The 27758-nt window shown below is 43.7% G+C and overlaps 1 long non-coding RNA gene across 1 annotated transcript, besides 1 other annotated feature; it reads left to right on the top strand.

The window, feature by feature from the left end:
- Nucleotides 4015-4309: a silencer, noted in NCBI's record as "tiled region #8795; HepG2 Repressive non-DNase unmatched - State 22:ReprW". NCBI's record gives its function as "represses a minimal TATA promoter and a strong SV40 promoter by Sharpr-MPRA in HepG2 cells {active_cell/tissue: HepG2}" and the evidence as "EXISTENCE:reporter gene assay evidence [ECO:0000049][PMID:27701403]".
- Nucleotides 11956-23178, top strand: LOC107986884 (uncharacterized). The gene is made up of 3 exons (XR_001745703.2): nt 11956-12148; nt 22562-22624; nt 23066-23178. It is a non-coding gene; the product is annotated as an uncharacterized LOC107986884 (long non-coding RNA).
- The last annotated feature ends 4580 nt before the right edge of the window (nt 23179-27758 follow it).

The following is a 27758-nucleotide window of genomic DNA, read 5'->3' as shown; positions in this document are numbered from 1 at the left end:
ATTCAGAACAGGTTTCAAATACCAGCACCCTTTAAAGAAGAGTTTTTGAGGTAGGAGGAGACAGTGGCAATACGTGGGCTGATGAGCCTTTGTAGCTGCTCACAGGCAACAGCCAGGAGTGGCAGGAGGGTGATGTTCATGTGATTGCAGAGCCTCCTGCTTAGGAGTTGAAATTGACTTGAGGCCACCAGGGAACCTGGAGAAAAGATGTGATAGGATAGAAAAAAGGTGCAGGAAATGATCCTGGCTCATATATTTTAGGAAGAGCAAACTTGCTTTATCCTTTCAGATGTGTATGAATGAAGCTTTTGAAAAGCAAATAGAGAGTGGGTGTTCTTGAGATCATTCCTTTTTTTTTTTTTTTTTTTTTTTTTTTTTTTTTTTTATTGAGACAGAGTCTCACTCTGTCACCCAGGCTGGAGAGCAGCGGTGTGATCATAGCTCATTGTGGCCTCAACCTCCTGGGCTCAAGCTCTCCTCCCACCTCAGCCTCCCAAGTATCTAGGACTATAGGCACACGCCACCACGCCCAGCTAATTACTGTTTTTTGTTTTCTGTTGAAATGGAGTCTTGCTGTGTTGCTCAGGTCGGTTTCGAACTCTTGGCCTCAAGTGACCCTCCCACCTTGGTCTCCCAAAGTGTTGGGATTGCAGGTATGAGCCACCGTACCCAACCTTGAGATAATTACTTAATAGTTGGTGTTTGCTCAAGTAATTGCCTGGAAGGAATCAGTCCTCTCTCAATTTGCAGTGAGCTATGCTCTGCGGCTCTCCCCGTTTATGCAGAGGAATGGTTTGATTATGTCAAACATCCATGCAGACTCTTTGTCTCCTTCAGGGGCCCTTGAACTTTTGCTCAGCCTACAATTTGGGCTGATCTCTCTCAGAAAAGCCAATGGTTTTTGTTTGTTGGGTTTCACTTGCTCATGGGGAAGGCAAGGCAGATGAGGCTGAGGTCTAAGGGCTTGACCCTATTCCTTTCTAAAGCTACTGTGGTCCTGATGTCATGGTATGGGATGGTATAGTTTATCATTATAAGCAACAGAGCTGGATTTCAAGGCTCTCATATTGATTGTCTAGGGCTACTGTAACAAATTACCATAAAGTTGGTGGCTTGAAATTACAGAAAAGCATTCTCTCACAGTCCTGGAGGCCAGAAGTGTGAAATCAAGGTGTTGGCAGGGCCGTGCTCCCTCTGGAGGCTCTGGGAGATTCTGTCTGTCTTGCCTCTTCCAGCTTCTGGTGGCTCCAGGTGTCCCTTGACTTATGGCCACATCACTCTAGTCTCTGCCTCCTTCTTCACACAGCCTTTTCTTTTGTCTGCATAATCTCCCTCTGCCTCACTCTTATAAGGGCCTCATCACTGGATTTAGGGCCCACCTGCATAACTCAGAATGCTCTCACCGTGAGATCCTTAATTTAATTACATCTGCAAAGACACGTCTTCCAAAAAAGCCACATTCACAGGTTCTGAGACAGGGACGTATGTATTTTGGGAGACCACCATTTACTCACTACACAGCTCTCTTTTGCAACTATCAAGTTATGCCATTGAAACTCTTTGAGTCTCACTGCTGTCATCTACATTTTCATGGGTATATAGCAACTGACTTTCTCATTTCACAGCTTGTGGAGATCCACACCTTCCCCTAAGTGGCTGAAGAGGCATGGGAGGGTGGGGAGGGCTGGAGCTGGGGAGTGGTCTCTGTTATTTGGGTAGGCATGTGGGGAGGCAAGAGGCGTGGGGGAAGGGAGAATGTGCTGTGTACTCTGCCCCACTGAGGGAAGGGAAACCATGGAAGAAGTAGCTGAAGCAGGAACTGTGGGCGGATGTGAGCAGCCCCCACATAGACACACACTACATGTGCTTGCCTGGGTCCTCAACTGGGAACACCAGCCCTGTTCATTTAAAAGCAGATGAAAAATCAAGAAAAACCGATGAGTCAGGGAGGAGGGCAAGGAGGATGAGAAAGGGAAAACAAGAAATAAAATACTGTTAGGTTCTGTCTTAGTCCATTTGTGTTGCTATAAAGGAATACCTAAGGCTGGGTAATTTATAAAGAAAAGAGGTTTATTTGGTTCACAGTTCTGCAGGCTATAGGAAGCATGGTGCTGACATCTGTATCTGGTTAAGGCTTCAGCCTGCTTCCACTCATGGTGGAAGGTTGAGGGAGCTGGCATATGCAGAGATCACATAGAGAGAGTAAGCAAGAGAGAGATGGTGGGGAGGGGCCAGGCTCTTTTTAACAACCAGCTCTCACCGGAACTAATTGAGCGAGAACTCACTTATGACCATAGGACATCACCAAGCTATTCATGAGGAATCTGCTTCCATGACCCAAACACCCCCATCAGGCCTTACCTCCAACATTGGGGATCAGATTTCACTATGAGGTTTGGAGGCATCAAATACTCAAACCATAGCAAGTCTTTCTCTGGTTATGTGTGAAGATAAAACAGAAAACCTCTGTTCTTCTTTAGAATTGTTTTTTTTAAACCCACAAGAAGAAAAAGAGGAGCCAGGACCCTGAGAGCTGCAGTGATCTGAGAGGAGAGTGTTCAGGGACACTCAGATGTCCTGGGCAGGAGGAGCCTCAGAAAGGAGTCCTTGGATAGGATGCTCTGCAGTTTAAAGTGTAGAAGGATTGCACCAGGGACAAAGTCCAGGGGAGCCCAAATTCTGGGTTCTTCTGAGATTTCCCTTCTGGTGTGGTTTGGCTGTGTTTCCACCCAAATTTCATCTTGAATTGTACTTCCCATAATCCCCATGTGTCGTGGGAGGGTCCTGGTGGGAGGTCATTGAACCATGGGGGCAGTTACCCTCATGCTGTTCTCGTGATAGTGAGTGAGTTCTCACAAGATCTGATGGTTTTATAAAGGGCTTTTCCCCCTTTTGCTTGGCACTTCTTCCTGCCGTCAAAGGATATGTTTGCTTCCCCTTCTGCCATGATTGTAAGTTTCCTGAGGCCTCCTGAGCCATGCGGAACTGTGAGTCAATTAAACCTCTTTCCTTTATAAATCATCCAGTCTTGGGCAGTCCTTTATAGCAGCATGAGAACAGGCTAATACACCTTCCCTCAGTGGGGCAGAGCACACTGCACATTCTCCCTTTCCCCCAAGCTTCTTGCCTCCCCCCATGCCTATGCAAATAACAGTGACCACTCCCTCACCCTAGTCCATTTGAATTCCAAGAAAGAAGGGAAAGCACTGTTGATGAATTGTTCACCCTGTGTGAGGACATGTGATCTTGCCTTGTGATGACCCCAGAAAAGGATTATTTAAATAGATGAGGAAACTTCAGCTCAGAGAAATCCAGTGATTTGCCTGAGGTCGCGCGGAGAAATTGATCTGCTTCAGGATTGAAACTCTAGTCTGTCTGGCTTCAAAGTTTCTGTTCTGTCTGCTCTCACTGGCTGCCCTTGAGGCTTCAAAGGAAGTAGCCCCTAACTGGTGCTTACATACGGCAGTTCTTTACTTCTGGTCTCAACTTTTGTTATTTCTCATTTAAAAAGCAAGTGGTGATCATTTGTGTTTCATAAAAGTATGTTATTTAATTGTAATCCTGTATTTCATTGCAAAAGGGTGACTGGTGCACGGTGTGTGCTCACATTCATATTACGACAAGTGTGTAAAATCACTGTGGGTGGCTTCCCAGACATGGTGCCTTTGGGGTTATGTAGCTTGATGGAAGAGCACGCCTTGAAGATTCAACTCCATTACACATTTGCAAATCTCGTAACTAGGGAAACTCTAGCCTAGTTTTCTATCTCTTCGAAATTTTGTCATTGAGGGTAGGGCCAAGATCAAAACACACAATTTTGCATCAAGGATGAATAGTAGCACTGTAGAAACACTGCTGCCAAATAGAGATGTCAAGAATGATTTTCTTCAAACCCACTTTTCCACAACAGTGACGTGTTTCAAGGAAGTGAGTTATCTACCTGAGGGAAGGACAAAAATGTCTTTTCCTTCAGGCCCAGGAAGATCAGATGGCTGAGTCACACCGACAGACAGTCTGTCAAAGTGCAGGCCCTTAAGTGGTTTCACATTTTAATCTTCTCATTGGAATTTCAAAGGTTTAGTTCTTTCAGAACCTCAGCCTCCCTGCTCTTTAAGTTTGCGTCAGAGCAAAGGGAGGAGTTCTGCAATTAGGCGCAAGTAACACATCTGGAATTTGAATGGATAGGTCCTGATTCCAGCCTCCGAAAGGTTTGAGATGAGAACAAAGTAAGCCAATGAGGAGAGATCCCCCAGGGATGAGGTTATGCCCCTGCCATTAACATTTACCGAACTGGAGAAGAAAAAAAGCAATAGCAGCAGTAATGGTGACAGATTCCATGTTTGTTGAGGTGCCAGGCTGTGGCATATCCTGTATGTGAGTCACCTCAGTCCTTTCCTAAAACTCAACATTCAGGTGATATGGGACCTGAAGGGGTTAGGAGCAGCCCCCGGAGACAGACTGCTGGGCTCAAACCCAAGCTTGGAAGAAGAGGGTACGTAGGGTCACGTATGTGAAGCACTTATAGGGCGTCTGGTACATTCTAAGTCCTGTACAAGTATTGGTGCTTATTATCCTCCTTCCTGTTTCTGAGGCTGGTGGAGCCTTAATGACCTCTCCAGGTTGAGAACTGACAGGAACTTTCCCACAGGGTTCCATCTCTCCACCTACAGTTTCTCCTGGCCACAGGCAATTCTTCATTTTGAGGAAGTGACCAGAGAAGGAAGGTTCTGGGAAAATGACTTGATTTTTATTCAGTGGTCTCGGAGGAGGACATTTATTCTGCCTACTAAATATGACACGATTCTGAGCTAGTCTCTCCCAGGCCCTCAGGCTTTTCTGGCCTGAACAGCCCTTGCAGTTGCCCAGCAAGAGTTGAGCTGCCCACCTGAGCTCAGGCCCTTCTCTGGCTCACAGAAGCCAAAGTCTCTTAATTAATTCACTCATTTTCCCTGAGTCTCTTCAGGAACTCTGTGATGTTTAACTACATCATCAATAAGCTCCCTTGTAGCTCTAAAATGCTGTAATTCTAATACCAATTAATATTTGGATGAACTCTGGGACTCCATATAAATCACCAGCATTTTACTTCTGCTGGGACTCTGTCAAGCTCAGCAAAGTACTTGTCTCTGAGGTTCCTGCCTTATTGGTTAAGTGTGGGTGAGGCCTGGGGCTTGTGTGTTTGTCTGGTGGGGGCACCATTCTGATGAGTCCAGAGCAGAAGGATCCGTCTCTAGTGGATGCTGTTAATGGTCACAGACTTAACTTTTAACACTGCAGAGAAAGTGTTACAAACAGAACAGGGAGAGAGTGTGGACAGATTAGAGAGAACCCCGTCCAATTGATTCATGAATCACTCAGAGAGTTGTGGGCAGTCAGGCCATTTCCTATTTTAAGCATGAATTAATTTACACTTCTGACTAGTAATGAGAATGTTGAAGGCAAAAAAAGCCATAGCCTTTTACATCTGGATGTGAACTCGACTAAAAACAAACATGGTCTTACTGAAGAACCCCAGGATTTTTTGGATTGCATTTTGTTTAAGGGATAAGTAAAGATGAAACAGGCCTGGATGTTAGTGTAGCAGTGACAGTGACCTAGAGGCAGACATCAATGTGGTCACGGACTCCCTGCAACATCATGAAGGAAGTCTCTAGAAGAAATATTATCCAGAACTTGCCCTGTTCCTTTGAAATGCATACCTACCAAGACACAGGGTTAACCATGGGCTGTTGCTTTGTCAGATGTTATTTCCAAACTCTATGCCAAAATCCTTCTTGATAAATTGGATAGGACAAAATGTTATGGTTATTTATATGTTGTCTTGGCTTTTTTTTTCATTCCCAGCTAATTTTTAAATTATTTTAAAAGAGATAAGGTCTTGCTGTACTGCCAAGGCTGGTCTCAAACTCCTGGCCTCAAATAATCCTCCTGTCTCAGCCTCCTGAGTAGCTGATATTATAGGCATTATAGGCATGAGGCACTGTACTTAGCAAGTTTCTGCTTCTCAAAATGAGCAGATCCTGCAACTGGGATCTTTGTTATGTGAGTCTGGACAAGGAGTTATGTGAGTTTGTAGGATGCAATTGAAAAAAAGCGTGAGATAGGAGGCCCAGAGGAGGATTTTTGGAGCTGAAACACTGGAATCTTGAGGATGAGAGCTGCAAGAGAAAATGAGAGACCCCTTGATGAAAGGCTGGGGAGAAATCAAATATTACATGAAGATTCAGAGCATTCACTGTGGTATATGTGATGAAAAAAAAAAGTTTCTCTAACTTTCTTATGAAATTTTCATCGATGTAAGTTGGACTATTGTTCAGATGGGAATAGATTCTTTCCAGAAAGTGGGAAGTTTTGCTGAGCCTTGCATTAAGGCAGGCAGAGAAAGCCAACGTGGGAATTATGGGTAGATCCCTGTGGGTCACAATTGCTACTCAACCTGGTGGATCTTCTTCAGTGTGCATGCACACACACACACATATACACACACACACAGAGCTACATACTACAGGGTGTAGTGCGAGTGCATTTGGGATACTAACCTCAGTTAATGCACACACACAATTGCATGGGCCCCTACGGTCATGTGTTTGCTGTGCTCACTTTGCTCTCTGGCTTTGTCCCATAGTGTTTACCTTTATTGTGCTCTCTTCCCTGTTTTATTATTTATCTGGAATAAATAATATTATTTATCTGGAAGTTCTTATTATTTATCTGGAAGTTCACAGTGCATTTTAGAACCTGTCTCTAATCTTATTTGGATGGAGCTTGTATAACTAAGTGCATACTATTCAATTTCAATCATATTCTGCAGATGCAAGAACCAATGTCATCGTGGACGATTACCCTGTCAACATGGTTACTCAGACTGCTAAAATCACTTTCCTTTCAGCTTTATTGTAATTGGGAAAAGAGGGGGATTAAAAATACACATTAGCCAAAGGACTGTGATAATGACCATGTCCTGATGTCCTGGCTGCATGATGCTGGATGCCCCTTTATGTCTATGTTCCACTGTCATGAGGGGTGTTCCCCATGGGCAATGCTGTCTGTGGTCTTAAGCATCCTGAAGCCAGGGCCTCCCTAATTTCCTTTAACTGGAACTCAGGCACCTTGATCAGAGAAAAGCTATTTTTTGCCCCAGCTCTGCTGAGCTAGATTCCATCTCAGATTATATTAAGGGAACTGCCTTTATCTGTGGTTGCTAAGGAATAGCTTTTCCTCTCCAATTAATTGTTTTTCCTTCAAGAAGCCCCAACCTACACAACACTTGGTAGTAATTTAAAATGAGCCAAAGAGCTGCAGCTTCTATTAGAGGCATAAAGGAACCCGCTAAGAGTTATTAGGGGTCACCAGGGCCTGTCTTTAACTAAACACCGAATTGCTATTTTAGAACAAAGGAGACTTCTCTTTGGAAAACACTGATCTACTGCTTGATTTTTCCAATTATAGGCTGAACTCCCCCCTGCCCACGAGCCTGCTAGTCAGACTTTCATTAATCTTGCTATCTCATGCGCAGGGCTCCTGGCTGAATGCAGGCGTCACAGAGAGAGGGGGGCATGCTTTCAGTGGAAGTCCGCTTCCCACCCTGATCTATGAGTCAAGAATTAGATTGCGCTGCTCACCTGCTGTGGAACAAAATGCGTTAAGCACCTGCCCCTCCAGATCTGGGGTGTGTGTGTGTGTGTGTGCGCGCGCGGCGTTCCCAGACCTGGATGGGCAGGTCTGTGGCAGGAAGCTGGGTTGCAGAACCAGTGTGGAGCAGGTAACCCGGGCTGCAAATGCTGCTCTCACACTGGCTGTCAGTGGGTTGTTCCTGCCCTACTTCTCCCAGGAAGGCTGGATTCCACACCTACGGCTGTCATCATCTTGTGTGGTTCTGGGGATCAGAGTGGGGCTAGTTTTGGTACAAATCTAATTCACAAAATTCTAGTGTCACTAAAAGAGCTTGTTAAATGTGAGCTGGGCTTTAGGAAGTGGCATGTTGGTAGACATGCATCTCTTTTTGGTAGGGCACATTGCCTGGTACTTACTCAATGATCAGGCACTAAGGAAACTTTTTCTGATCTCTCCATTTTGTATAGGCTCCTCCTGTCCTGTCTGTTGTCTTAGCAAGCTCTGCTTCCCTTGTTCACAGCATCCCCATCACAATGGTGGTCACTGGACCCCTATGGTCTGGGTAAGTTTTCAGGAGCAAAGGTCAGATCTCAATCATCTCCACATCCCCTGGCTCTCAGGAAGGAGTTACCCAAGCTTTGCTGGATGTTTGGTGAAGACGGGGAGAGAATGAAAGATGTCAAAACTAATTTTCCAATTAAGCTATTGAGACAAGTTTATTCAAATATTTACGTACTTTCTGATGTTTTATTTCTCCCATAAATAACCTAGTTCTTTCTTCACGGACTCCAGGACTTTCTTCTTCTTTGTCCAGAACCCTGGGGGGAGCCCTGGGGTTCCCTACCCTGTCCCCTCCAAAGCTCACTCTTGCTCCCAGGGCTCTGGGCACTTGTAGGGAAAGTCCAGCTTCCATAGATGGGGCATCAGGACCCTGGTGGGGGGGAGGGGCTGGGAGATGTGCTAAGGTATCTCAAACTGGAAATGGGATTCCAACTGGAGGGAGCTCTTCCGTGGAGCTACCTACAAATGGTGCCTAGCAGGTTGCATGACTAAGTTACATATATATATTTTTAACTGAGTCAGTTTTGATTCAAAACACATATTTTTAATCAATTCTTTTCTCCTATATCGTATAAGAAACTGGCATTTGCCAAAGAATTAAAACATAGGAAACATCTCGAGAGTGCTTCAACTTGCAGAAAATACTAGATCCTTCCAGTTATTTTCCAAAGACCAGCTAAGCTGGAGTTTTTACAAAAATAAAAATAAAAATAAGAGATTTTCTTTACAGTATCCTGAACATTATAGTGGCACATTATATCGACTAACTTCAGCTGACGCAAGGAAAGAAAGAAAAAAAGAAGTGGTGATGGGTGACTCATCGGCTCTCAGCAGAGCAATTACGCAGGGCACAAAGCGTGCGAGAACAGCCCTGCCACAGAGGAGGGAGTGAAAGGATGGAAACAAAGAACAGGACGCTTCAGTGCAGAGGGTTTGTGTCTATGTGGCCAAATGGCCCTGCGTAGGACACTCATCGTGAAAGCTCGGCTGATGGAAACCTGAGTCCTTTGCAGTTTCTTTTTTTTAGAAGTGATTTCAGTGATAGAGCAGCTCCTATTTTAACAGTGTCCTTGGTGCAACCAGCTCTAAGATTTTGAAATCCTGATAAGTAGGAACTAGAAAAATGGTTTAAAAGCTGCTAGCCATTTTTGTGAAGGCATCAATTTACTTTTGGGGGAGACATCATTGTTTTCTAAAAGCCTCTGCATGGGCTCTTGGATTAAACCTGTGTGGAGGCAGGTAGCCCGGGTCTGAGGGTCGAACTGGGAGGCAATTTAACTGGGAGGCATATGTCTTAGACTGAGATATGGTGATCTGCTGGGTGATGTTTATTTTGGGATAGGATTGAGGGACATCTGGGTCTCTGAGTGTGGCTTTTTGGTAGGGGATGAAGGGAGAGGAAGCATAGCTCACCCTCTGTCTTTGGGGGACCATAGAAGACTGGAAACTGAGCAGGAAGGCTGGTCTGACCCCCTCTCGTTGCAGTTGTATTCCAAGTGTCTATGTTATATTTCTCTCCTGTTAGCCCCAATACCATCAGTTAAGTCTTGTCCACAATTTCAAAATCTGGTCTCAGCAATTGCTGCAGGGAATTAAGGGAAGGGTCTTGGTCCATTTACAAGACAGTGAGTGAAGGGAGGAGCTTAGCTGCTGTAGGATGAGGTGACCTGCAGCAGAAGACTGGTGTCCCAGGGCCAGAGAGGAGGTGGCTTCTGAAGCTGGGCAGCCCACCTTGGGGACCAGCCACACCAAGACTCATTGGCAGGCTATCTGAGAACTCTTGCTGGGGATGGAGGGTGTTCCAGAAACATGTGGGAAGGGAAGCCTGAGTGGATTTTGGGAGCCAGTGAAGGGTGTGGTATCCACAGCTCAATTGACCATGACCGTCCCAAGGATTCTGGGGCCCAAGATTGGTTAACTAAGACCATCACAGTCACAGAGCGAGGTAACTCCATTCTTTTCTCACCTTTTGAACTTGCTCTGAGTCTGCTAGCCATGGGCTTTGCATCAGGACTTGGTCTGGCTGTCTTGATGTATTGAAGCATTTCTCCTAGGTCTATTCAAACCAGTGACTGACAGAATAGAGTGTGACCACTGCATGGCATGGCAATTCTTTAGCTCGGTGGCACATGATGTATTCTATGCCTCCTACCCCTAAGAAGCTCCGCATAGGCTTAGCATTACAACGTGACTGTTTCGGTCCCTGAGTCATCCTGGAGAGCAAAGTTCCTAACCATGGAGACTCATTCCCAGCCATTGCCTCTGCCAAAATCACCACATCAGAGTGGGAAGGTGGACTGTTACAGATGCTATATAACCACCTAATGTAAAATCATCCTGTGAAAAACAGCACATGTATATTGAACTACTTCAGGGTGGGATTTGGGCCAAGCAACTTAAAAAGCTTGCTCTCGCTTAGTCCTTACAAAACTATTGGATTGAGACTATGTTATCATGGAAAAACAATGAGGCTAAGGAGATTTGGGTACTTTTGCTCAAGATCACATAGGTCATAGGTGGCAGAGCTGGGACTCAAGCCTGGGGTTGCTGAAAGCTGGACTTGAGAATAATGGGAGGTCCTTGTGTCTGGCCAGTGGCAAGTGGGAAGGACGTAGCATTGGCTCAGCATCTGGGAAGTCAGCAGAGGATGTTAGAAATCACACAGCCACCCTGGAAGCTGGAGAGGCGGCCAACGGCAGCAGCACAATTAGAAAGACTACAAAGGAAGAGACACAGAACTTGCTAAAATACAGGTCTGAGTCAGCCACTCATTTCTGCCATGTTCAGATGGAATTACAGTCTGATCCACACCTCGCAAGCACAGGATGTGACAAAGTTGGAACATGACACAAGTTCACAAATTTCACTGTTTTTGGCTGGTTGCTTCCTTTCAATGAGCCCCTCACCTTTTTCAAATCCAACAGTTCAGGGTCTCCATGTCCCCATGGTGAATCCCAGGAGTCTCTTTTCCATTCTACCTTGGCCTCTGCCCCATTTTCCAGTAGAAGGTACCTACCTGCAGCACTTCTCAGGAACGAGGTGCACCCCCAAGGGACTTGGTGAGGAGGAGGGATTCAGAAGTTCAGGACCACTATCCAGGTTCTTAGAGTGAGGGGGAGAGGAACGTTCCAGGATGAGCAAAACATTCTCCATCCAAGGCCAAGGCCCCCCGTCATGTACTGGCAAGTTCAGGGACCTGAGACTGAAGCATCTCACGTCATTGCTTTGTATTTTCCCAGAAAGGGGTAGAAGATGAATATTATATATCTACCATATGGGAAGGTACAAATGACTCTGCAACATGTTGTTTGTTAAAAAATATTAATGTTTAGCACCCAAATACTTACTGCAGGAGTCCCAGAGAAGAAAGTGACAGAGAAGTGTGATATAAGTGTAAACAACAAAAGCATTAGCTTCTTAGCATTCTGTTGGGTTATGGGGCACTAGATTTTTTAGGGCTCTCAGGGACTGGAAAAATGAAGTGTAAAAACCAGACCCAGGATGGAAATTACTCATATTGATTACACGTACACACTTGTGTGCACACGCATATGCACACTTATACATCTCAATTTAATTCTTGGGGAGTATATTGATAATGAATGATACCTGTAACTGTAACTGCAATGTTTGGGACTCATGGGCTGATTTAATTTTACCCGTCATCATTGGTCCTGTAGAGTCCTCTTGGGATGTTCTCTCAAAAGCCACAGGAACTGGAGGGTTGAAAATTTCTTACCTTCAGAGACCAGGGCCCTACAGGGTCTGATAGGAAGTCAGTTTTAAAAGTCTGTGGTTTCAGAGATGTCTAGTGACATTCATATTTACCTTCCAGGGCTGCAGTGGCACCTGCTATATGAGGCTGAGAGGAGAGGCTGCTCAGACGCAGAGAGCCCAGTTGAAATCTACCCACACTTGCTATTAAATCACAAGCCGTCCACACAAAGAACAAAATCCAACCAACAGCTACGGGGTAAGTAGAAAAGTTAAATGATCAGTACTTTGATCAATTCAAAGTAGCAGGAGATTCACACATCCCAATGTGGCCTGATCAAAAGGATCAACGAGTGATTCTTGTTTCCTCACCTGCTTTTGAAAATATTTTCAATTTTTTAAAAGTATTTTCAGCCTACATCGTGTTTCGATCCTCTCCTGCTTTCGCGGTTGTCGTTGGCCCTAGCCAGCTTTGTGTCACTCTCAGCTTGTGCTGGACCTCATGGTTGACAGGTTTTGTTCTGTTTTGTTTTGTTTTGTTTTGTTTTTAGGTCTATTCTCATTTCAGAAAGAAAAATGCCCTCTGTGATTAGCTCCACCCCCACGTTCACTAGGAAACCTTTTTGGCCTTTTGGGCAATCAGTGCTGTCCTCTCAGAAGTCTCCCTTATGGGGAGTTTTCATTATTTAGCTCTGAGTCTCCCTCAATCTCTCCTGGACTGTGGGCTCCTCAAGGGCAAGGCTAAGTTTCACCTTTGAATCCCTAGCACACAGCACTTGATCTGGAACATAAGAGCCTTTTAGGAAACATTTCTGGAAAAAATAATGGGTAATAATGAATAATGAATATCTCTGCCTCTGTTAAAATTATACAAAACTAACAGGCTTTTGAAAGGGTTCTATTTTGGGCCAGGTGTGATGGCTCACACCAGTAATCCCAGCACTTTCAGAGGCCAAGGCGGGAAGACTGCTTCAGCCCAGGAGTTCAAGACCAGCCTTGGCAACATAGTGAGACCCTGACTCTACAAAATAAAAATTTTTAAAAATGTAAAAAAAATTTTGAAAGAAAGTGCTATATTTCTTTTATTCTGAACCTGCTACATTCTATCTGTCTAAAGACACCACAAATATTTAGCAGGTATGTTCTGCTACAGAGTCATTTCCAGAATCAGCCTTAGGCCCTGTTCAGTTAGAATGGATGTGACCTTCCTCTGAGACAGAAACAACTGAATTTATTTCAACTGGTGTGGGAGTAGGAAGAGGAGAATGAATCTATGCAGTGTAAACCAATGAATTAAAATAAAAGATGGATTTACACCTACTCTTACGGCCCTTTAGAAGAAAGTTTCAATGCTGATTCAAGTTGCTTTTGGCATTAACTAAAAAGCACTGAAATTGACCTTTGTAAGCTTGAGTTGTCACTTTGTTCTCTGTCAGCAGCATCCTTTGGAACATCCTTCGATTATAGATTCACTTTACAGACCTCAGTTTAACGAACCACCTGAGATAATTGGTCTGAAACCAAATCTTTAGACTCCTTCCTTAAATTTTACTTAGTGGGAAACAAAACCCAAGACAAAAAAAGAAGAAACACTTAGGGATTCTCAGTGAGAGAAAAACATCGAGTCAGAATTTACAATGACAGAGGTTAGAAATACCTCACGTCTAAACTGTCAGGATCTAGCTAACAAGTTTAGAAATAATCCCTGCTTCGTGCTTCACTTTTTCATATTCACAGAGGAGGGAAAGGAGACATAGATGTACCCGGATGGTTTATGTTTGTTTTCAACCTCTGCCTGCTCACACCCTACATGGAGACTCTTCACTCCTTGAGCTGCATATTTGCAGATCTCATCGCTTCACGTGGGCAGAGCTAGAAGCAGTATGCAACCCCTCAGCTTGATGTCTGGAGGAAGCTATGGGTGTCTGCCCCTATCCTCCTATTGGATTCCTGCCCTGGTTCCTGGCATCTCAGTCTTGCCTTAATTGTGGAGTCACGCCGGGCACAGTGGCTCACGCCTGTAATCCCAGCACTTTGGGAGGCTAAGGCAGGTGGATCACCTGAGGTCAGGAGTTCAAGACAAGCCTGACCAACGTGGAGAAACCCCATCTCTACTAAAAACACAAAAAATTAGCCGGGCGTGGTGGTGCATGCCTGTAATCCCAGCTACTCAGGAGGCTGAGGCAGGAGAATCACTTGAACCCAGGAGACGGAGGTTGTGGTGAGCCAAGGTCGTGCCATTGCACTCCAGCCTGTGCAACAAGAGCAAAACTCTGTCTCAAAAAAAAAAAAAAATTGTGGAGTCAAGTGTAATGCACTTGCCAAGACCTTGCCATTCTGCTCATCCTAGAGGTCTAGACCTGACTCTGTACCTCTTTCCACTGCTTGGGGAGTCCTGCCTCAAAAGGGATGGACCCCCAACTTGGTACCCAGAACTTGCTGTCAATTTGGCAGCAAGATCTTTTTCTTTTTTTTTTGAGGGGGGACAGAGCTTGCTCTGTCACCCAGGCTACAGTGTAGTGGTGCTATCTTGGCTTACTGCAACCTCTACCTCCCAGGTTCAAGCGGTTCTCATGCCTCAGCCTCCCAAGTAGCTGGGATTACAGGTGTGAGCCACCACGCCTGGCTAATTTTGGTAGTTTTAGTAGAGACAGGGTTTCACCATGTTGGCCAGGCTGGTCTCGAACTCCTTACCTCAAGTGATCCGCCCACCTTGGCCTCCCAAAGTGCTGGAATTATAGGTGTGAGCCACCACACCCAACCAATTTGGCAGCAAGTTCTGTGTACCAAGCTTAGACACCAAGCTCTGGGTACCCAAGAAGAGATTTTGGGTAGTAGCACTGCCCAGAATCTCCAATCACAGGGAGAATTTCTATTTGCCTGGATGATATCCAAGTTGTCCCATTACCTTGAATGTTGTAACTAGGTTTGAGGGGGAGGATCACCCTTCTCAGGGGTCAGCCATAACTTTGGGTCAGACCCTTATGCAAGCCCACACAATTGTGTTTCTTCTGGGTCGGTTTTCCCAGTGGGCCCTGAAGTCATGTCAGTGTGTGTCATGATAATTGTTCTCTGAGTTGGGAGAAACCAGCGATTAAATGAGATATTTTGATTATGTACTTATCTCAGTGAGCTATACCCTTTACATCTCATTTTTCTTGTCAGTATGGAGAACTTTTGTGGTTGTTGTTAATTGTTTTGCTCAAGATGCTGCAAAGAAGGGCAAAGGAATCTGTTGTTCTGCTCTCAAATTGCCTGGAACGTGAAATCAAAGTCAAGTTTGCTGGTCTTTTCTTGGTAAAGTTTAATTCTTGTGCTTTTGTCATGGCCCCAAACAAAGGATCCACCTGAAACAAAGAACGGCTGGAAGTCCAGGACGCAGGAGGGGAGTGGGGGATGGAGGTCAAACGTGTTGCCAATACTAGACTTAATTTGCCCCACAGGAGAGCTGTGGCTGTGGGTGATGTGGGTTGGATGATTTTTTAAAAGGAAGCAAACAATTGGAGCCACACAATTTGGGAGATTGAATTGTGTTTTGTTTGTTTTGTGTGCAAAATGAGATTGTGGGGGAAACAGAGACATTATCCATGAAGAATTCTCAGGCAATTTCTGCTGCTTCCTTCCATCAATTACCTTCTGTGAACTCGGGATGGAATTGAATTCCATTGAGTTACAGTCTATGCACTGCCAGTCTCCGCAGGGATAACTCTCTGGAGTAATTTCATAACCTGCACTGATGAAGATATAATTCATACTGTGCTGCCTTTTATAGGGGCCTTAAAAAAATCATGTACCATTTCACAGTTGTGGTTGTATTTTTTTAAAGTTTGACCAAAAAAAAAAAAAAAAAAAGGAAACATACTTTTTTTCTTCTTACTAAATCGTAAAACCAATAGACTTAAGGGGAAAAGGCAAAATCAGGCATCCTAGTCTTGCAGAAAAAGTCTTGAACCATGGATATCATAGTTTTCTCATCTGGAAAATGGCAGGACTGAACTCAATCATTTCCAAGTTCCATTTCCACATCCGGAAAGTCTCAGAATCTCTGGCTCTAGGTTTTTGTTTTTTTTTTTCCTAGAAATGTGACTGTTGAAGGAAAATAAAGTTCCTCCAGAGGCTTTTCTTTAGATGAGAATTCCTCCATTGAGGATGGCTTCCATTGTGCCTGGCTAGCTGACTTCCTCTGTGTGGCTGGCAGGAGAGAGGGAGGTGAGGTTGAAGGAAAGGTACCACTGAAGGAAGGCTTGGGCTTAGCAAAGGACTCCCCTGGCAGCAGGGAGGAGGCGAGAAGGTCAAGAATCAGAGAAGAGCTAACAGTTTTACGTGACTGACAGCTGAGGCCAGAGTGCGGGCATCAGTGAGATCAAACAACGGGAAAACATCCCCAAATAATAGAGAGGTGGAAGGGTCAGCCTAGCTGGCAGAAACCAGATCCTATGGGCAAGGAGGCCGACAGGGCAGGCCGGGCCCAGACACTGAACTGCCTGGAAATAACGTTGATAAGGGAGGCAGCATGCTGGTCGGCCTTGGCTGCACCAAGTCTGCATGACACAACCAACGGCCAACCAGGAGGTTGTGCATGAAATTGGTTACTTGTTTAGTTTACAATTGGCCGTGATTTCTCGGTAATCAGCTGGCAGACTTGGGAATTCTTATGCAGTGAGATAATTAAATCTAACACACAAATTATTTTCAGAGGTCATAACACGTTATGGATTATAAATGTAATAATAAAGGAAATTGAGATAGTGTTATTTTACTTAATATTTACCAATTTGTTTTCTAAAGAAATAGTATTTCTTTAGTATTCTGGGGTCAATTTTTTTTTGCAGGCTGCAGAGCTTATCAATGTTCTTTACCCAAAGCCCTCCAGGAACACACCTGTATTTAAAGTAGTTGGATTTATTACTTGTTTCAGCAAGGGATAATATATACCATGGAAACCATGGGGCATCTCAATAAGAGGGTGTGATAGAAGACCTGTCATGGCGTTTGGGCTTGTGTTGGGTGTCAGGTGATTTGAGAGAGAGTTTGGAGAAGTGAGGCTTTGCTCTGGATTGGATGCTGTCAGGAAGTGATTGGGTATCTCCACAAACCTTATCTGGAAAGAGAGTATACTAATGGAGGCTAAACCTGTGATTGATAAAGCAGCCCTGTTCACTGACTTTAGTGAGAATAGGGGGTGGTGGGCGTGTTTGGTATGTTTCAGCTTGGACAAGTTCATGCTTTGTTTGTGTTTTGCCATGATTACCAAGGGGTCTTGTCTTGATCCAATGTTGTTACGCAATGGACAATATCTGAAGTTGGTTTTCTGTGAAATTGTGTTCAGCAAGAGAACACCAAGGCTTAGCTGATAGCACCAGGCCGGCTCCTGGATGTCAAGGGTGCATTTTTCTTTTTCAAGTGAAAAACCTTTTGCAGATCTCAAGTGTTTCTGTGGGTCTCTGGAAAGTTTCTAGGCTATAGGAATTGAGCTCTTCATGTCTATGGAATAAAACAACTTTGTCTCCAGCACAGGCTTTAAGAAGGCCCTTCGTGTTGAAGCCATCCGTCACTCATGCCTCCCGTCACCCTTTGTGCGGGTGAGGAGGATACGGATCCAGTGGGGAGAAGTGGGAGGCCCAGGGATGCCCTGCTTTGGCTCACCCAGAAGCGGGCAGGAAGAAGTAAGAGTTGGTGGTATTTTGCGTGCAGAGGGAGAGGTGTAGGCCTGGTACATCCGGTGGCAGTAGGAGGTAGTTTAATGAAAGCTAGGATACGGCTAAGCTCTTTATAACACCAGGACAAACTTTTTCCTGTGTAACTCTCTTTTATTTTTAAAGAGCGCAAGGTGCACCACAAAGTAAGGCAAGAACAGCATTAAAAGCCTGATCTCCAGTTCTCAGTTTTCATTCATTTCTCCCCCACTTAAGAACTCCTACAAACTTTATTGTTTGCACTTTTTCTCATTTTTTTCTCCTCTCCTTTGCTGTTTATTTGGAAACTTTTTAAGCCTCCAGAATGGTTGAAAGAATGAACCCAGCATACCCTTCACCCAGATTTCATCAAATGCTAATGTTTTGCTACCTTCTCTCTCTCTCTCTGTCAAATCATTTGAAGTAAATTTTTGCCCCTAAATACTTCACCATGTAATCTCCCAAGAGCACAGTTATATTTTCCTACATAATCATAATACTATGTATGTAGGGGTGTGTGTGTGTGTGTGTGTGTGTGTGTGTATACAGTACAAAGACATTTCTTCTGAGCCACTTGAAAATAAGTTGTCAACATGATGCCCTTCACACCTGTAATCCTTGCACTTTGGGAGGCCGAGGCGGGTGGATTGCCTGAAGTCAGGAGTTGGAGACCAGCCTGGGCAACATGGTGAAACCCCATCTCTACTAAAATAGAAAAAAACTAGCCGAGCATGGTGGTGTGTGCATGTAGTCCCAGCTACTCAGGAGGCTGAGGCAGGGGAATTGCTTGAATCTAGGAGGTGGAGGTTACAATGAACCAAGATCACACCACTGCACTCCAGCCTGGGTGACAGAGCAAGATTCTGTCTTAAAAACAAACAAACAAACAAAAAACATGATGTCCTATACTCCTGGATATTTTAGTGTGAATTTCCTACAGATAAGTGTCCACTACAGAACCACAATTCAATCAAGATGAGGAAATTAACAGTGATGTATTGCTACCATCTGATATTCAGATTTCCTTCAAATTTTGCTAGTTGTCCCAAGTATGTGCTTATAGTAAAATGACCTAGTCTAGAACTACCTTTACATTCAGTTTTCACATATTTTCAGTTTCTTTCAATGTGCAACAGTTCCTTGTGCTTTCCTTCACTTTCATAACTTTGACACATTGAAGATTACAGGCAGGTAATTTCATAGAATGTCCCTCAATGGGATTGTCTGCTGTTCCCTCACAATAAGATTTGGGCTATGTCTTTGGCAGTAACATCACAGAGGTGATGTAGGACTTGTCTCATTGGATGCTGTGAGATGGGGCATCATTTCAATTTATTTCATTACTGATGACATTTACTTTGATCATTTGATTAGATGAGTGTTTGCCAGGCTTCTCAAATTAGGTGTACTATTTTCTTCTTTGTAATATTTCTCTCTCTATATATATTTGTAGGGAGATACGAGATACTTTGAGGCCATTTAAATATCCTATTCTTTATCAAAATTTCCATTTCTTCACTTCTTTATTTGTTCATTTTTATCAGTATGAACTTATGGATTCTTATTTTGTTCAATAGGATATAATCCGTTGCTATTCTCACTTATTTGATGCACAAATTGCCCAATATGTGGCCAGTGGAAGCCCCTTAAAGCTGTTTTCTGGACCTTTTTGAAGTGTCCCAATCATTCTTTTAGCCCTTCTTGTCACTCTGGCACAGCAAGCTGTCCATGTGCTACATTACCTGCCCCAGCCCTGGAATCAGACATTTTTTCCCAGAGCCCTTGCTGCTTTTTGGCAAATAACGGCATTTAGAAATCACAATCTGGGTGCTCTGTGTGCTAAATGCTCTTGGTAAGTCCCTGCTTCTAGGCCCTCTCAGTGGGCAGAGCTGGGATACAACTATGCATGTATAATATATAAAAATACATACATTCATATTACTGTATTTCTATATCTACATGTATATATATGTGTGTGTGTGTATATATGTGTATATACAGTGTGTGTATGTATACAGAAATATATACATACACACATATATGTTTAAATCATACATACACATTTAATACATAAATATATATATATTTATATATAAATACATATATGTATGTATATATGTGTGCATATGTATATACACACATATCTACACATACACACACACATATATTTAAAAAACACAAATTCACACAGTTATCTCACTCAACCCAAAACCACATGATTCATTCTTGTTTTCTTTTTTACCATAATTGTAAGTCTCTTTACTGACCATGAGAAACTTGCTCTAATTAAAAAACAAAAGTTTCCTATTTTATGCAGCCACATTGTAACTAATCTGCTACACTGCTATTGCCATTTGCCCCTTTTGGGATGCCCTCTTCACCCAGATTAGGCTCTGGCACCTCGTGTTGAGCTGCTCTACCACTGGGATGCCTCTTCCCTTTGCTTGTGGACCATGCAGAAGCCATGATGTGCCCGTTCCTATGTGGATGACCTCACCCTGCCCAGACCGTCTCCCTGCACTGGGCTGTCCGTAGCCTCAGATGCCCTTCTCACCTTGCTTGGGTGCAGATACCTTGTGCCAGAATATCCTCCCCACCTTCCTTGGGCTCCTGCATCAAGTCTTACCCACACCTCTTGGATGCCTTCCTCATTCTGCTTGGCTTCTGAACCCTGCACCAGGCTTCCCTCTGCAAAAATGCCTTCCTCCTCATACTTAGACTCCAGCACCTCCTGCCTGACTCCCTGTTCACTCTGATTAGGCTCCAACACCCTGCTCTGTGCCGCCCTCCCACTGGTAATCTCTCCTTACCCTTTTTGGTCTCCCATACCCTGGCCTGGGATACTCCCTTCACCCTACTTGGGGTCTGCCCATGCTGGGCAGCTGGAGGTATATTCTCTTGATAGTTTCTTCCTGCACAGACAAAGTCAATCCACCAAGACCATAGCCTTGTAGTAAAGTAAATTGACATGAGGTTGGCCACGCAGGACACAGAATTATTACTCAGATCAGTCTCCCAAGGCTTGGAGATAAGGATTTTTATGGAAACTTGGTGGGCAGGGGCCTAGGGAATGAGTGCTGCTGACTGATTGAGGATGAAATCGTAGGGTGTGGAAACCGGTCCTTGTAGGCTGAATCCACCTCTGGGTGGGGCCACAGAACCAGTTGAATCAGGAGTCAGGAGACTGGGTCGGGTCAGTTGGAAAAAACCTCAAAAAACCAATCTTAGGTTCTACAGTAGTGCTGTTATCTATAGGAGCAATTGGGAAAGTCACAGATCTTGTGACCTCTGGCCACATAACTGCTGAGTAATAAGGGGTTATAGAAGGCATGCTTATGTTGTAGCAGAACTCAAGCCACTCCCCATAATCCTAATCTTGTGGCCTTTCATTCATCTTACAAAGGCAGTTTCAGCCCCCAAACAAGGAGGGAGCAGTTTTAAGGAGGGACTATTATTATCCTTGCTTCGAAGTTAAACTATAAACTAAATTCTTCCCATGTTTAGCTTGACCTATGGTGAGGAATGATCAGAGAGAGCCAGCCTGTGAGGCTAGAGGCAGGATGGAGTCAGCCATGCAAGACTTCTCTCACTGTCATAATCTTTGCAAAGGCAGCTTCAGAGGGAGTAGAGGGGAGACACACTATGGCACAGCATATTAATGGGCCGAAGTCAATGCGATTAAAAAAAAAATCAGTGACTGGATACTGTCCAACACACTAATGGTACAGCCCAGAATTTGTAGTGAAAACTGAACAGGACAGCAGTAATGGGGCGCAGTGACACTCTGCATCTTCTGATATGATGCCATGGGAAGTGCCCAGCATCACCTGGTGGTACTCATGCCAAAAAAGAGCTAACCCAGACTGAATCATGAGGAAACAATCAGAAAAACCCAGGTTATGGACTTTATACCTGACTACTGGTTTCTACTTTTAAAAAATGTTAAGGTCATGAATGACAAAGGCAGGGAAGGGGACTGTCCTAGTCTAAAGGAGGCTGAAGAGCTATGACTACCAACTCAATGTGGGGTTCTTGATTGGATCTTGGATTGGAAAAACAAAAACAAAACAGCTAAGCAAGACATTTTTAGGATAATTGGGGAATTTCAAATATGAGTGGAATATTTAGGTAATATTATGGTATCGTAAGCTATAATTGCTTTCTTGGTGTGAAAATTGTATTGCGTTATGTTTTCTCATTTCCTTCTTGAACAGCTCAGTCAAAAAGCCACTGGGTGGGGCCTGGGAGGTTAGCATCCCAGATAGGGGAGCCATGTGACTCAGAGTGAGGTGATGGGCCCTGGGCTAAGTGAAGAGGACACACGGGTAGCGGAACAGCCCAGCCCAGCACAGGGGATGGTGTGGGGAGGAGGGCAGGTAGGTCTGGGTTATTAGGGCCTGAGAAGAGTGAGGATAATGTCTATGTGGGGGGCAAGCTGACATGGGTTGTGCTCTTCCAGGTTTGAGAAATAAGGGTCATTGCCTGGCCCTGGGGTGTTGGGGAGCCTGGTTGTGCCGTCTTGGCTGGAGTGGGAGAGGGTGGCTAAAGTGCATTCCATTGAAAGTCAAAAGACCTTCCAAATCTGGCCCCCATCTCCCTCTACTGTAACATGGCTCTCTCCCCTCTTTTCACCCAACTCCTGCCCAGTTTACATCTCATGTTCTTGAACAATCTACTGGCTGCCTAGATTAGGGATCATCCAACTGTAGCCTAGATTGCAGTGTTGTCCCCTGGTTTTGTAAATAAAGGTTCATTGGAACATAGCCATGCCTATTGTTAATTGTCTATGGCTGTTTCTGCATTGCAACAGCAGAATTGAGCGGTTGCAACAGAGATGAAGTGGTCTGCAAAGCCTGAAATATTTATTTGTTGGCCCTTTATAGAAAAAGTTTATGTGCATCTGGCATAGATTAAAAGTTATGCCTTCTTAATCTGTGCTGTTCTCATTGTAGCCTGTCGCCTATTGTAACAATGCATCTGCCCTCATTACAATATAGGCTCCGTGAGGCAGTGGACACCAGTGCTGCAACCCTCATGCCCCGAAATGCACCTGACATATGGTAGGTACTCAAAAAATATTTATTTAATGAATGGGACTTCTGCCTTATGCCCACTAGGGGATTTTGGTGAGGAACTCATGACAGTGACCTCCGGAAGGTATTCCAAGGAGGCCACTAAGCACAGGGGTCAGGGGTATGTCACCTCCTCATGTTGAGGCCTTGGGAAGCTAGCTGTTCCCTTGGTTTTACTTAAATCCTCTTTTCAGAAATGAGTCATCAATCATCTGCTGCTCAGTCAGCTATTAAGAGTAGAAGATTTTTTTTTAAACTATAAGATAAGAATAATTCCAGATCATAGAATTATTCCAGCACTATTCACAATAGCAAAGACCTGAAACCAACCCAAATGCCCATCAATGATAGATTGGATAAAGAAAATGTGGTACATATATACCGTGGAATACTATGCAGCCATAAAAATGAATATCATGTCCTTTGCAGGGACATGGATGGAGCTGGAAGCCACGATCCTCAGCAAACTAACACAGGAATACAAAACAAAACACCACATGTCTCATAAGTGGGAGCTGAATAATAAGAACACATGGACACAGGTAGGGGAACAACACACAGGGGAACAGGGCCTGTTGAGGGGGTGGGAAGAGGGAGAGCATCAGGACAAATAGCTAATGCGCACAGGGCTTAATACCTAGGTGATGGATTGATAGGTGCAGCAAACCACCATGGCACACGTTTACCTATGTACAAACCTGCACGTTCTGTACACGTATTCCAGAACCTAAAACAAAATTAAATTAAAAAAAAAGAATTAGAATTGGAAGGAAACAAAGTTCATCTAAAACAACCTCTTAGTTTATCAACTAAGAAATTGAAGCTTGGAATAGCGGAAAGCAATTGTGTGCTGGTAAATGTATAGCAATTAGCTCTTCAGGAAAAACATAAATTTTATTGATGTAACGGCTATATAGCACACAACTTAACAAATCAAAATAAAATATGTAATACACTTTATTTGAAATTCCTTACAGCTATTGATTTTCATAGAATGCTTTTGTTGATTTTTACCAAATTCCTGTGTTCATACCTAACTTCTGGTTGCAAATGATGAACTAGTAGAGTTCCAACATGAAGATATTTTTGTTTACATTAGGAGTAAACAAAAGTGAAACAAGCAAGACCTCTATGGGACCTTGTTCATTAATGATGCAAGTGACTTATTGGCTGTATCAGATAATAGTTTTTAAATACTAGAAGAATGCTTTGTCATTTTTTGGTGCTGTTCATGATGTAATGGTTATAGATCTTTTTGTACAAGCTTTTAAGTTTTATCTGCAGTATTAATATTTTTTTCCATCTTATCTTGATTTATGGTGTTTGCTGATTTCCATGGTCTAAATATATTCACTTCAAGTCACCAGTATGACTTGCGAACATGTCATTAGAAAGGGATGCCTGGTAGTTAGATGCCTAAATACACTATATAAGTGTTTCCATCATCCAGACACGATAGATGTAAATAGCTTCAAGAGTGTAGGCAGTGGTAAGATGTAGTAAAATAATTTAATTATAATAAAATAATAAAATAAGTTGGCAGTACCAAGTTTTGAGCACTTACTAAATTTGTTTGAATATAACTAATTTAATTGCTAGTTTATATGATTCAATTTTTCAAAATGGCTATGTTTAACATCCAGCTCATGACATTCCTGGAAATTTAACAACAGGCTCTCACAAGCCAAGTCTAGCCCACCACTGGTACAAAATTAACCAACCATCAAATCATGGGAAATGGCTGAGGCAGAGTGCCTAGAGCAGAGTTATTTCATGGGAGGTTTCAGTACAAAGTGATCCCAGGGCAAATTGAGAAAGCAGACAGACAAAGGGAGCAGGGAGGAAACACCCAAGAGTTAGGAGTTGTGGGATCCATCCAGTTCCCCACTTTGTGCCCAAGGACGCTGACCTCATTGTTTACTGTAAGGGCTGCAGTAGTGTGTGCTTGAATTAGGCTGAAGTTCCTTGAAGTCTTGCTAGCATCTTAATGCATAAATAAATATCACAGCCCCCTAAATATGTAATATTATAGAACAGCGAAGAGGCTCCTTTGATGAAATTTTGTTCTTCAGAGGCTTATGGACTGGAGAGTAAAAACACACATGTATTAGCCATGTGTTTTTAATGCTCTGGCATCTGCTGACCCTGGAGAAACTGCCCCTGCTTGCTGGTCAATTCCTAGAGGTAGTGAAGGACTGGCCTGTGGCATGCATTTCATATGCAAACCAGCCAACCCAAAGACCACACCCCACCACCTCCTCTACAGGGCTTTCACACTTAGGGCAAAGATTCCCTTGCTTTAATCACCCAGGACCAGGTAACAGGCAACCAGAGACAGTTTGTATTCCCTAAAACCTGCTAAAGTTACTCAAATTAGCCGATTCTAAGCCTGCTTGCCTTGCCTTTCCCATTCCTTCCAGTGGAAACCACAATAAAGGGTGTTGCCTGCATTTTCCTCATCATTCCCTCTGCCTCCTGACTGACCCTGGTGCGTGACCAGTGGAAACCCCCACTCCTGGCACTTTATGCCGTCCCAGTCTTGGGAACTGTGAGTAACAAACTCTCATCAATGGCATTGCCTTCTCATCTGTTGACCTCACCATACCTGAATAATAAAACCTACATTTTAAAACAACATGCCCTCCATCAAACCCATGAAGGAAATGATATGAAAAAGAAATACATCTATAAACAGATATTCATTTAAATTGGGTATTTCAGCAATTTCAGAAAACTGTCCTAACTGGTTGCTATACAACAATTTTGTTTTTAGTTTTGTTTTGTTTTAAATGAGAATATTCATCAACTTTGACAAGCATGCATGCAAATAAATGAACATTTATATCTTGCCTGACTCACTTGTTGATGGGACTGTTGAGCTCACATACTACTGTGGTGGGCTGACTCCTATGACACTTTCTCTGAAACAGGTATCATCTGTCATGGTGTTATTTCATTAATAAGCAATGAAACACATAAATGTCTCTCTTGTTTGACATGGTACCACGACTGACCTACATTTATCACTCTGTGAAACTTATACCAAGATTGGAAATTCAGATAAAAGGGGAATATAGAAAAGTAGACATATAGAAGAGAGATTTTACAATGAATTTAGCTAAGCAATTGCTAAAATTCTGTGTATAGCCTGTGATTCCTTGTCTAAGCCAGCCTGGGATAAGCCCAAGATTACAATAATCACCAGCAAACAGGCTTTCTTTGACTTTGCTCACTCCTATTCTACCTGAAAGATTCCCTCAAGGTCCTACTCCATTTTTCTGGCATTTCATGAGGCTTGGAGGACCTAGTTACCCGTAGCATCTGCCATCTTCTCTGTCTTTGCTCTGCTTGGAGATTTCTCCTGCATCTGCTGTGAACTGCAAGGGTCCTACCTCTGGGGATCCTGACACCTGAGGATTTCATCCCATGTCAGTGTTAAAGTTGCTGCGAAAGTTGTTGGCAATAGTGATGCTGTTCCCTTGTACTCTTGAAGTCTGAGAGAGATGGTAGCATGAGAAAGATTTCACTTTGCTCATCCTCTTTTACTGTAGTTCCCTTCTCTTGAGGGCTGCCCAGGAAGACAATCTGTGGGACAGACACTGGGAATGCTGGATCATCTTTTCCTTCTGAGGCTGCTCCACTGTCCTTGAATCAAACTCTGGGGTCAAACTCTTTATTCCCTTGGATGAGTTGTTTCCAAGAGCTCATTTTTAGGTAATGTGGAAGTAAATGAAGATCAATCAAATGAAAACAAGCACAGACTATTTATTTAGAGCTTACTATATCAAGAGAAACAACCATCATCATTTGCTTTTGACAGAGACTCAAAGGCAGGCCACGGAGTGGGAAATCATTTATAGTGGATAAAAGGCAAGGCTTCAGGTGTGCCCTGATTGGAGGCTGTTAGCATGGAAAAGCTGTGGACAGGCCATCTCATAGTGTGACAATCTATATAATTGGTTAGGGGAGCATACTGGGCTCTCTGGTTGGTCCTGAGTTGGAAGTGGGGACAATTATTAGGGAAGCTGTCAGATATAAACCAAGTCTTGGCTGTTTGGGGCCAATTGTTACAGGGATTATTGTCTGGCTTCCTGGGATGGTTTCTAGAGATAGTGGTCTAATCTGTTACAATCTGACTTATAGATAGCAAGCTGTCTTCCTGGGCTGGTTATTGTAGATAATGGATTAGGTTTCTGGAATAGTTGCTGTAGACTGGGTTAGGGTTCTATTTTGATATATAGTCTGGCTGTTGTCTATTTGTATATTCAGTTTCTCAGCAAATTGACAGCCAGTGAGTCTATCATTCACTCTCCCTCTGCCTCCATATTAGGGCTCTCCAAGAAACAGAACCAATAGGAAATTGGTTCTGTTATATGTGTAGAAAGAGATTTATTATAAGGAATTGGATAACATGATTATGGAGGCTGGCAAGTCCAAATTCTGCTGGGTGCAGATATGGGAGAGCCAACATTCCAGTTCCAGTCTGAAAGCAGTCTACTATAGAATCAGGAAGAACTCATATTGCAGATGGAGTCTGAAGGCAGTCCGCTGGAAAATTCCCTCTTGCTTGGGGACACTAGTGTTTTTGTTCTATTCAGGCATTCAGCTGATTGGATGAGGACCACCCACAACTGCTTTACTCAAAGTCCACCAATTTAGATGGGAATCTCATCTAAAACACCCTCACAGAAACACCCACTGTAATGTTTGACCTGACATCTGGGCACCACGTGGCCCAGCAAGTTGATCCATAAAATTAACTATCACATCCCCAAACCCTCACTCATGAATCTCAAGGTGAGCCAGTGACTTTTACTTCCTCTCAAGTTGGACCCTTGCTCCATGGTTACACATCAAGGTGGTAGAAAGTCTCTATTCTCCTTAGCATCTCTAGAAGCTAATGCAGAGCCATCTCTGTGTTTATGGCAGGACTTGTGAGTAGAAATGCCTTCTGGAGCACCCTCATTCCAATTGGATGTGAGAAGAGGAAAACTCATTCAGGCATACAGAAGGACAAAGCTCTCAAATTGGAGGGGCTGTGGCATTCCACATGCCACCCCTTGAAAAGAGTTTTAGTATGGTCTTCCAAACCACTCTATTGCCTCATTTCATCTCTCCAGGA

The sequence above is a fragment of the Homo sapiens genome, chromosome 8, assembly GCF_000001405.40.
Source record: "Homo sapiens chromosome 8, GRCh38.p14 Primary Assembly".
NCBI classification, from domain to species: domain Eukaryota; kingdom Metazoa; phylum Chordata; class Mammalia; order Primates; family Hominidae; genus Homo; species Homo sapiens.
Note: the sequence above shows the minus strand (reverse complement) of the source record. Positions and strands in the feature narration are given on the sequence as shown.